General features: G+C 38.0%; 1 long non-coding RNA gene across 1 annotated transcript in view; it reads left to right on the plus strand.

The window, feature by feature from the left end:
• LINC00992 (long intergenic non-protein coding RNA 992) overlaps window positions 1-12,600 on the plus strand; it is a 164,233-nt gene that overhangs the window by 64,083 nt on the left and 87,550 nt on the right. The window lies entirely within an intron of this gene.

The raw sequence follows: 12,600 nt of genomic DNA on the forward strand, positions 1-12,600 counted from the left end.
TGTTGTAGCCTTGTTTCATCAAAAGCTGATCAACTATGTCTGTATGAGTCTGTCAGAGAGCTGAAAAAGTAATCAAAGGTCAAGATGGAAGCTGCAGCTACATACAGGATCCCTGTGCCAGATCATGAGAGCTGAGAGTTACGACACAGATAGTTCTGGGTGAAAAGCTTACTAGTAATAGAGTATAATATGTTTTAATTTAAAAACAATTTACTATATTTAATTCAAACTAAAATCATAAAATCATTAGAATAAACTATAGGGATAAATTTTAATGACCTTGGCAACAAAAGAAAAAGTAAAAAAAAAAATGGGCTTCACAAATATTAAAAACTTTAGTGCATCAAAGGACATTATCAAGAAATTGAAAGGCTCTCTGGAAGAATGGGAGAAGATATTTGCAAATCATATGTTTGGTGGGGGAACAGGATCCATAATATATAAAGAATTCCTACAACTCAGCAACAAAAAGACAAACAACCCAGTTAAAAAGTTGGCAGAGGACTTGAATAGATATTTCTCTAGAAAATATACAAATAGCCAACAAGCACATGAAAACATATTCAAAATCATTAATCATAAGGTAAATACAAATCAAAACCACAATGAAATACCAGTTCAAACCTATTAATATAGTAATAATAATAATAATAGGCTGGGTGCGGTAGCTCATGCCTGTAATCCCAGCACTTTGGGAGGCCAAGGCAGGTGGATCACCTGAGGTCAGGAGTTCCAGACCAGCCTACCAACATGGTGAAACCTTGTCTCTACTAAAAATACCAAAATTAGCCGGGCGTGGTGGTAGGCCTCCCAGCTACTCGGGAGGCTGAGGCAGGAGAATTGCTTGAACTCAGGAGGCAGAGATTGGAGTGAGCTGAGATCGCACCGTTGCACTCCAGCCTGGGCAACACAGCAAGACTCCTTCTCAAAACAAAACAAAACAATAATAAGAATACTAATAATCAGAAAAATAACAAATGTTGGTGAGGATATGGAGAAATGGCTGATAGGAAGGTAAAATGGCACAGCCACTGGGACAAACAGTGTGTGGTCTTCAAAAAGCTTGTTATGGACTTGATGTGTCTACCCACGTCCACTGCCAAGTTCACACTCACTGTGATGGTATTTGGAGGTAGGGCCTTTGGGAGGTCATTAGGCTAGGAGGGTAAAGCCCTCATTAATGGGATTAGTGCCCTTATCAAAGAGACCCCAGGGAAGCCCCTTACCATGTGAGGGCACAGTGCAAAGACAGCAATCTACAAATCAGGAAGTGGTGTCTCACCAGGTACCTAATCTACCAGAGCCTTGATCTTGGACTTCACAGACTCTAGAACTGTAAGAAATAAATGTTTGTTTTTTAGGCCATCCAGTTTATGGTATTTTTGTTACAGTAGTCAGAACTAAGACAAAGCTAAACAGAATGACCATGTGACACAGCAATTCCACTACCAGGTGTAATGCCCACTGTAATTGAAAACAGGGACTCAAACAGACACTTTTATACTAATGTTTTTGCAGAATTATTCACAATAGTCAAAAGGTGAAAATAGCCCAGTGTCTATCAACAGATTAACGCATAAACAAAATGTAGTATGTATACACATACAATGAAATATTATTCAACCATAAAAAGGATTGAAGTTCTGATACATGCTACGATATAGGTGGATCTTGAAGTCATTATGTTAAGTGAAATAAGCTGGGCACAATAGGACAATATTGTGTGATCCCACTTAAATGAAATATCTAGAGTAGGTAGAACTAAAGACAGAAAGTAAGTTAGAGGTTACCAGGTTTAGGGAGGAGGTGGGGAACAAGGAATAATTGCTTAATGGTTACAGAGTTTCTGTTACAGGTGATGAAAACATTTTGGAAATAGATAGTGGTGGTGGTTGAATAACACTGTGAATGTAATTAATACCACCAAATTGTATGCTTAAAATTTTTTTAATTGGCATTTTACATTATATAAAACCACAATAAAACATGTTTTAAAGCATTTTATACTTAGTTCATTTTAACTAACTTTGTATATCTTTATATAAAAAACTTTATATCTACTCGAGTAAATATAATTCTACAAGAAAATTGAAGAATATATTATTTATATTTTCCAAGCAGTACTAAATATGTCAAGAAATTTTATTTAGTGCTACACGTTTCTAGGCACTGATTTAAGAACTTTACCATTCTTAACTATTTCCTACTCATAAGAACCCTATGAAAGAGTAATTATTATTACTTTAGCCATTTTACAGATGAGGAAACTGAGAGGTAGAGGGTTAAGTAACGTGTTCCAGGTGCAGTAAGCAGCAGGTGGTCAAGCTGAGCAGCATCTTCAGTCTGCTTCCAGAGTTTCTGCTCCTAACCACGAAGTTTGGCCATTTTGACATTTTGCATTTAAATTACTTGAAATTTAATGATCACACTGAAGCCAGGGAATGCCCATGTACAAGTGGAAGAATTCTTTCAATTCTTTCAAGAAAAGTTTATTATGCTGTCTACAAGTTCCCCTGGAACTGATTTAATTGTTGCTGCTACTAGTCATTATTAAAACTTGGCAAGCGGTTATCAGTACTTTTGCATTCAAACTATACATGTCATGTCTCGTTTTCAATGTGCCACCTGAAAATTGCGCTTTAGTCAGTTCAGTTCTCAGAGTTGGATGCCAAAAGGTCAGTTAAAACATGGAATGTATTAGGGAAAGAGCCTTTTCCTCTCCTTTATGAACCCTCTGTCACAGCAGTCTGTTATCTCTACAGTGACCGGAGAATGGATGAAATTTGTTGGAAATGAGATCCACACTGTATCTCATTCATCTCTGTGTCCGCAGCACAAGGTACAGTGCTTAGCATGTGGTAAGGGCTAAAAACACTTTTGTTACATGAATGAAGAAAGGAATGGCACAAACAGAGCTGAGTAATTTTCTAAAGACCTTCTAAGGTGTCCCAATTCATGGTGTAACATCACAGGAAGGCAAAGAACTGAGTCCTCCTGCTCTTTACATGTGTGCCTGTATCATGACTGGGTGTGAATTCTACAGCATTTCTGCAGTGTCCATGACGCCGTGATTGTACTCTATGTTGTTTTATCTTTGGAGTTTATAGATTTGAATTTGAATGTTTTGATAATCCGAAATACATCGTTGGATGTGCAAAGGAATGCAAGGAAGGATCAACTCTTTCTGGCCAAAATGGAGACAGTGCTGTTTTTTTTTTTGTAATATTTCTTGAATGTGTCTAAGCAGAGCTGGCACTCTGCCCAGGGATAGGGGAATGAGATACCCAGAGTGCAGGGTTCAGACACTCACTCCGAGGCCTGTGCAAAGACAGAGTTAGCACAGACATGGACCTGAGAGTAAAGGCTTCCTAATGTTTGCACCCTAGGCACCCTTTTTCCCCTGAGCCTACAATATAAAAGGGCAGCACTGGAGCTAATAATGAATGACTCTAGGGCACACTGTAAATGGAAGTGAAAAGCTGATGGGGAGATGGAAAGAGAGTATGGCAGCTTTGAAAGATGGGGAGAGTCTTGCAGGTGCATGTCTTCCTTCCATGTGTTGTCACAGGCCCTACTATGCACTGGTGCAAGCAGGCTGCTCAATAAATTTAACTGGTTGGTTAGCAGCTTGTTTGTCTGTGTGTTTAGGTATCCCACAGTTATAGTTCAGGAAAGATCTTTGCTATGGAGGCAGAGAAGATGAGGGAGACAATGAAATCTGGAGGGAACTGATTCATATTGTCTTTTAAGAAGGCCTGAAATATGAAGATAGAGATTCCCGTGGTGGTTGGTCTAAACTTTCAACTTTGAGTAAATATGGACTATCTTACCGTGGGAATTCCACGTTTGTTCTATGGAAGGAAGAACTTTCATTATTTTTGAATATTTTTAAATAACTGTAAATCATTAGATGACATTGTTTATAAGTCATTGCAAAATAATTTTAGTTTATTGATAGGTAGAGCTATAATGACTAACATATTTGTACTTGGTGAGTGCCAGTGATGTAAATAATCTCTATTTCATCCAGATACCTTTGGGTTCCTTTGTATTGTTATGGTGTAACCACCCACTCTCAACTATTCTATCTCCCCAGTTCATTATACTGTCTGTGTGCTCTGGTTTCCAGTAGCTAGCCCCTGCCTGTCTCTGCAGAGGGCCAACCGTGGATGCTGTGTTTTGCCATGGCCTCCCATGCAGACAGCTCAGAGGACCTGGGGATTCCTGCTCCTTCCCACCTCAAAGTCAGATGCCATTTCTTTAACATTCATTATATGGCCGTCATGACCTGCTTCCTGCCTGTCCTGTGAAAACCCTGCATCACTCTCCCCCATAATCCTTTCATTCCAGAATGCTCTCTCATAGCCCCTTTGTTTCTTCTGCTAGAAATAGTGTTTCTCTTCTTTTACACCTCAGTCAGCTAACTCTGACTGGTCCTTATGATCTCAGCTGAAAATTAATTTTCTTCTTCATCCCCTAAATTTGGGGTTAGGAGTACATCTGATGCAATCCCAGAATGCTTTGTACTTCCATGACAAGCTTATTTATTTATTAATGTACTATTTGTACATGTTTAATTTATTTTCCTACCAAGTAGCCTGTGAACTTTGGAGACCAGGGATGGAAGTTTTGGCTTCACTGTGGTAACCTGAGGGTGTACACAGTGCCTGGCATATGCAAAACACATAATAAATACACATTAAATATAGGAGTAACTCCATGAATTGATTTGATAAATTGGTCAATATATGGTTTATAAATATAAATCACTTCTGGTAACCTGGGAGTATACATAGTGCCTGGCATATACAAAACACATAGTAAATATGTATTGACTAGATGAGTAATTAGATGAATTGATTTGATTAATTAATATATGGCTTATAAATATAAATCACTTGACATTGTGTCTTATTTTCTTGGCTTACATGCATATTTGCCAGATTCTACATAGTAACCTTATATATGTTATATGTTATTATGAGGGATATTAATATGTATATGTATGCTGCTTTCTCTAGAAAAGTTCAAAACCACTTTAAGAATCAACACATAAATACATTTAAAAACTAAATATTTAAAGATCACTTTCTATTGATTTTCTAAGGGGTTAGGTGTCAACATGTAACCAAAAATTCATGTTTATTCACAGAGAGTATTTTCTAACTTGGGGCAATCCCTGGCCACAAATGTATAATGTTTTCTCCTGCCCTCTCTCCCAGCTTAAGTGTATTCATTTAAATATTTAAAAATCAGTGTTGGCCTGTAATCCCAGCACTTTGGGAGGCCGAGATGGGTGGATCACCTGAGGTCGGGAGTTTGAGACCAGCCTGACCAACATGGAGAAACCTTGTCTCTACTAAAAATACAAAAAATTAGCCAGGCATGGTGGCACATGCCTGTAATCCCAGCTGCTCCGGAGGCTGAGGCAGGAGAATTGCTTGAACCTGGGAGGCGGAGATTGCAGTGAGCTGAGATGGCGCCATTGCACTCCAGCCTGGGCAACAAGAGTGAAACTCCGTCTCAAAAAAAAAAAGAAAAAAAAATCAGAGTTGGTTGGGATCTTCTACCATAAATATTCAGTATTCTGTGAACATAAAATGTCCCTCAGAAAAATTAGAGAGGCCTTTTAAATATTTTCCTAAAGCAGAATTTGCAAAATGATAGAACCTTGGGAGGAATCTCTTCTGAAAATAGAGCCCAAGGAAGGGTTTTTTTTTTTAAATTTCTTTACAGAAGTGTAGAACTCAGGAAAATTAAATCAAGGGAGAGAAAACCAATATAAGGATGTGTTCTCAGCCTTTGTCCACCACTGTGGGTGACTGTAGATGATCCATGTATGTGAGCTTTGAGATCATTCCACCAATGACACAAAAAGGAGAGTGATTATCAACTAGCTTAGGTACCGCAATGGTCAATGTGTGCTCCACTTGCATTTCCAACTACCCAGACTCTAACACTGGGTGACTGATTTAAGTGTAGCATGCTGAGGGGTCAGAAAAGCCCTGGATGGAAAAGTGAAATCTACTCAGTGCTGCTGAACAAAAATACATCAGGTTCCCCTCAGAGGGGCTGATTTCCTGAGCAACATCCAGAATATTGCTGGGTGTAGAAGATGTAAGTTGAAAAGCAAGAGTTATCCAATACACTTAGCCTGGTGGTTGGGGAATGAATACCTCTCACAGATGTGTTTTGTTTGGTTGTTGCAGGATTTTTTTTGTCAGTAAATTGCCAATATTTAAAAATCAGTAGAATTCATATAATAACCTGAATGTTGTGCTTCACTTCCAAAAATGAGATGAATCTCTCATAGATGTGGTTTGTTTAACCATTATGAAATCCAATTGTTTTGCCAATTAAGTTTTAATCTCTAAAATTAAGGTGATGTCACATAGCTATCTGGATTATAGATCACTGCAAAACTGAAACTCCTGGGCTCTAATGATCCTTCCACCTCAGCCTCCCAAGTAGCTGATTTGCTTGACTTCTTAAAATGGATCTTCTAGACGTGATGATTCACATTACCTCAAAGCTGGAAGGAAGTTACATGTGTGGTGTTCATGCCCTTTTAGATGGGGGCATATTCAACAGTCTGCCATTCACTCATGTTGCTCCCTCTTTCTATTTGCATACTTGTCTGTCCCCTGCAGATAGTTGCACGTGAGACCACAATTCTAAAGACTGGGACCCCTTCCCAAGGTAGATGGTTAATGTGTTTGCCTAATTGGAAACATCATTTGCCCACCTCTATTCTGCTGTGTGCCCTGAGCAGCTGATGTGCACAGATGGCATCTCTTGGGCTCCCTTTCCACTGTGGCTTCAGGTTGTTCTCACCAATGGGAGCCATTGGCAAGAAATCAGAGGGCAGGAGGAAAAACAGTTTGGGGAATATTTTCTCCACTCTTTCCCAGTTTCAGCATCACAGCTATGAAAGTGGCTGCATCCCTCTGTAATCACAGCTCCCCTGAGCTATCACTGGTCTCTAGCAGCTTAATATTCTCCCCTTTCCCTTTTAGGCTGTTACTAAATTTTGGATACCTCCACAGTATTCTTTGGGTTTTCAGAAACCTGACCTCACTACTGTATGCTGTCCCTTCATTAAAATATCTTCAGCTAATTCACCTGATCGAAATTCTGTTTATTGGCAAGGTCCTGACTAATATTAATAATAATAGAGCCACGCTTCTCTCAGCAGTCATTTGTCAAACCCTCTTTTCACTTTAGGGAAACAAAAAAATCTTTCTATTCTGAGCTGCTTTTACCTTCACTGCTGATCATGATCCAGTCCTGTTTTCCCACTTAGCTGACCATGTGCACTACTGAGGCCTAATCTGCTGCCTTGCTTTGGTTTACACTGTCTGCTTCAACCTGACAGCAGATTGATTGACTACTGGGCCAAGAGACTCCTTGCTGGGCTCTCAGGTTACCCACTGTACTTGGCAAGGCTTCAAGTGACCATAATGAGTTTCCCATCCACCAGCTGTAGCCCAACCTGTCTTGCTTGCAATAAGCAAGGGCAGTCAAGTCTCTTATCTTTCTTCCCTCCTCCAGAGCAGTGTTTGTGACTTTAGATTGTTTACTTTTTTGATAACAATCTGTGTAAAAAAGCCTATGGAGACCAACTTTTGATCCTGGTATGACAAGACAAAGATTCCTCCAGCAGAGAAGGCACCAGAGGCTTTAAAAGGTTGACTCTGACCTTTGCACAGCTTGACATGATGAGTAAGCTTTGGTTCACTCCTTGGTCCATCTTGCAAGATACCAAAGTGTCTAACTCCCCAGGCAAGTGCAGACTCCTGATGATCTTCTTAGCCTCCACTGCAGCTCTAAGCAAGCTCTATCAGCCCAATTTCAGATTCAGTATTTCAACAGCTGTTCAAGCTCCTGCTCTTACCACCGCATCAAAACACTAGAATGAGACAGACTTGGGCTTGAACACCTATTTTGCAAATATGAACAAGTTACTTAACTTATCTGAATGTATTTTTTTGTCTTTAAAACTGGGATAATAATTCCATTCAGGAAGATGGAAATAGATAAGTTATGTTAATTGCTATCCCAGTGTCTATTATGTAATAAACATTCTACAAATGTTAGTTTCTCTCATGAAATGGAATCCAAATTATTCATCCCTGTTATCAAATGCCTGCCAAGCATTAGCCAACTTTGTTAAATTCTCAACCACAGCGTAGAATCATGTGGTTAAGAGTATAATCTGTGGGTTGGGTGTGGTGGCTCAGGCCTGTAATCCCAGCACTTTGGGAGGCCAAGGTGGGCGGATCACAAGGTCAGGAGATGGCGACCATCCTGACTAACATGGTGAAACCCCGTCTCTACTAAAAGTACCAAAAAAAAAATTATCCGGGCGTGGTGTCAGGCACCTGTAGTCCCAGCTACTTGGGAGGCTGAGGCAGGAGAATGGCGTGAACCCTGGAGGTAGAGCTTGCAGTGAGCCGAGATCGCGCCACTGCACTCCAGCCTGGGTGACAGAGTGAGACTCCATCTCAAACAAAACAAAACAAAACCAAAAAAAAGTATAATCTAAAATCAGAAAGATCTGGGCTGAACTCTGGCTATGTACCTTCCCAACTGTATGATGCTATAAAAGTCAGCTGATCTTTCTGCATCTGAATGTATTAACTCTGGAATTCTATTGCCTGGGTTCAAATTCTACCTTTATTCCCTTATTACCCATGCAAACTTAGACAATGTACTTTACTTCTCTGTGCTTCTGCTTCCTCATCTGAATTTAGATTTTGACTGGAGATCATCTACCTTATTGGGTCATTGAGATAATTAAATGACTTAATTCTTATCAAGTGCTTAAAACAATGTCTGTTCAACATAAGTTAGCAAATACTCATTTCTTTATATGTAAGATTGGTGTGATATTTACTCACAAAATTATTGTGAACATTAAATAAAATAATAAATTGTGCAGAACCAGATGAAAGTGCCAACATCTGGCCATAGGCATTTTCTTAAGTAACACCATAAGCTGTTAACATAATGGCTGACACATATTTAGTGCTCAATAAATGTTACCTGTCACCATTTTAATATCATGTTAAGGTAAAAATTCACAACTCTCACTGACGTCTTTGTATGTAATTGATATCATTAACACCCTATACTCTTTCCTCAATAAGCCACCCTAATGTGGCCCAGCCTCAGATATTGCTTTTGTACGTCGAGAATATTGGGTCTGTTTGGTCTAATCTTCTGTACACAGAAGAGATAAGAGCTTGCTTTCACTCCCAATACATGTTTTGAATCCAACTTCTAACTCTAAAAAGAGTATCCCTTAATAGAGCTTTACAGGGATCTGGCCAACTTCTTGTCTAAAAGGCATAGTGGTATTCTCCTCCACCCCTCAAGGCTCTGTGAGATTGTGTGTACTGGCAATATGTGTCCAGATATTCCTTCTGGTTTGGGCCATTTCCAGATTGTGGCAAGCTATAATTCCATGAGTAGCTTCAAAGTTGCAGTGTAAAAACCTCTTCCATCTACTGTCCCTAGTTGGCTCCTGACCAATCACCCCCTTGAAGTGATGGTTATGTCAATAAAAAAATTATGGCTTTTGGTGTGGAGCAAGAGAGCAGCTGGCAAAAACTCTCCTGTCTCTTTCACTGAGCTCAGCTAACCATGTGCCACTTCCGTCTAACATCAGAGAAACAGGATAGCACACTCTCCAGAAAACAAGGCAGGCTTGCCTTTGCCAGCACCAAGGAGAGAAACGTGGTGAGAGGGCAGAGGGATGCTTGGGCAACAAGCTCCTCTTGTAATAGTCCATGAGAAAATGACCAAGAAATGTACTAAAGGGCTTCTGCTTAGACATTTTGTTCAAGAGTATTTATATAGATCCACACAAATGGATAAGTTTATAGAAGCACTACACTGAAGAAAGCCCTCTATTCAGGCCTCTCTCCCCAATTCTAAACAGGACTGAATGAACATCTCTGCAGATGGTGTTTCAAAATTCATTTGAACAAAAGTGGCTAGATGAGGTAATGGCCAGTTAGGTAAAAATGTGCTGGGAGAGAACAAGGGAAAATCCTTGCTGTAAAAAATTTTTTATTAAATAATTGGAAAAATGGAATGAAACACCTGCAGTTTATAAATCAAAGTTACCATATGGTATAGAATATTTGCTAATAAATTCTTATAAGCACAACCCTAAAAGTGAAGACTTTTAAAAGTTTTTGCTATGGTGCAATATCTTTTTATATTAGTTTATTTCATCCTATGACTTTTATTTCAAACTTTAAGTTAATAGATTATTAAATTGTACTTTGAAGCTCATTTCAAACTCATACTAGTGATAAAAATGCACAGCAGAGCAAATTACTGAAGAATAAATGGCAGCAATGAATTAACAGTTGGGGCATTAGAATAATCTTTGGACAGCTTTTACTCCACTTTTTGTTGATATTCAGTTTTATGTTGATGCTTTGGGGTGATGAAAGCAATAGTTTGTTAATGGTAAAGTGGTTGTAGCAAGTATCTTCATTTTCAGGCACTATATTATGTATACTTTTAATTGTCAAATATTCATTAGCATCGGCATTTTTTTCCAGACCTTCTTTCCTCTTTTAGAAAAGAAATAACAGTAACAGAAAAACAGCATAATAATCACTTCCTAATACCCCATTTACTTTTGACATGTAAAAGAACAATTTTGTTTTTAAAGACAGATGGTACATCGCTTGCTCTATATTATAAAATTCTTCCTGGACACATATTATCATAGACTCAAGTATCAAATATTCCAATCCACATTTACTTCTCAGGTATTTCATGCTGATAATTCTTACACCTTAAATACAGGACTTTAAAACGTAGAAATGGGTTCATTAAAAATATATTATATGCACGTATCTGAAAGAGTGTTGCAGAACCAAAACAATACCAATGTCTAAGGTTTCTAAATTTGTACTGAATTGCCTTTAGTGTCTTGGCATATGCTTTTGAATATCCTTAATGATTCTAGCTGTTTGCCCTCTGATGGTAGATTTAATGCTTCCAATTGTCTAAAGGGCTCTGGGAGCCAAGTTCAGTGCAAAAGGAGCTTTATTAGAAATAATTGCACTTACAAAATATTAAGTCCACTTTGTTAGTAAATTCACAAGTCATTTACTTTTAAACAACTCAGTGTAGTGCTACTATTTTAAGTTAAAAGAAAACTTTCACAGAGGTATTTGTAAAGTTTGGCATGTAAATCTGATTTGGTGAAAAAGGGTAAATTTAAGATTAGTAGAATAGATGCTTCTAATATGCTGGATAGCCAGCAGGATTATAATTTTCTGTAAAAATCCTATTCCAGAGCAAATGTTCATAAAAATCCTGAGGAAAAACCAAAATCTATTGGGTAAATGGTGATTTATATTGAATCAGAAAGATTATCATTGACATATCAGCCAAAACCATTTGCTGTGTTATAAAATCTCTCTCATTTTTAAAATCATAATTTGATGTCATTTAAAAGAAAGACACATGTCAACCCTGTAGTGAGCTACTAATTTATGTGTATATATACATATTTGTGTGTCATATACACTGTATACATTAATATATATTACATTAATATTTGTTAATATACATATATTTTCAATAATGTATTATTGAATGTTATTGAAATTATTGAATAAAAATAATATATATTATTTTCAATAATAAATTTCAATGCATAAAATACTTAACTATTTTAATTAAAGTAAATCAGAATTCTACATGTACTATTTGCCACAATCCATTATAAAGTATTTTAAAAAATTAAAATTGAAGTTTGCAAAAATATTCTTTGGTCTTTCACATTCTTTTTTTTTTTGCACGTTTTTATTTTTATTTATTTATTTTCATTATTATTATACTTTAAGTTTTAGGGTACATGTGCACAGTGTGCAGGTTAGTTACATATGTATACATGTGCCATGCTGGTGTGCTGCACCCATTAACTCGTCATTTAGCATTAGGTATATCTCCTAATGCTATCCCTCCCCCATCCCCCCACCCCACAACAGTCCCCAGAGTGTGATGTTCCCCTTCCTGTGTCCATGTGATCTCATTGTTCAATTCCCATCTATGAGTGAGAACATGCGGTGTTTGGTTTTTTGTCCTTGCGATAGTTTACTGAGAATGATGATTTCCAGTTTCATCCATGTCCCTACAAAGGACATGAACTCATCATTTTTTATGGCTGCATAGTATTCCATGGTGTATATGTGCCACATTTTATTAATCCAGTCTATCATTGTTGGACATTTGGGTTGGTTCCAAGTCTTTGCTATTGTGAATAGTGCCGCAATAAACATACGTGTGCATGTGTCTTTATAGCAGCATGATTTATAGTCCTTTGGGTATATACCCAGTAATGGGATGGCTGGGTCAAATGGTATTTCCAGTTCTAGATCCCTGAGGAATCGCCACACTGACTTCCACAATGGTTGAACTAGTTTACAGTCCCACCAACAGTGTAAAAGTGTTCCTATTTCTCCACATCCTCTCCAGCACCTGTTGTTTCCTGACTTTTTAATGATTGCCATTCTAACTGGTGTGAGATGGTATCTCATTGTGGTTTTGATTTGCATTTCTCTGATGGCC

The sequence above is a fragment of the Homo sapiens genome, chromosome 5, assembly GCF_000001405.40.
Source record: "Homo sapiens chromosome 5, GRCh38.p14 Primary Assembly".
NCBI lineage: Eukaryota > Metazoa > Chordata > Mammalia > Primates > Hominidae > Homo > Homo sapiens.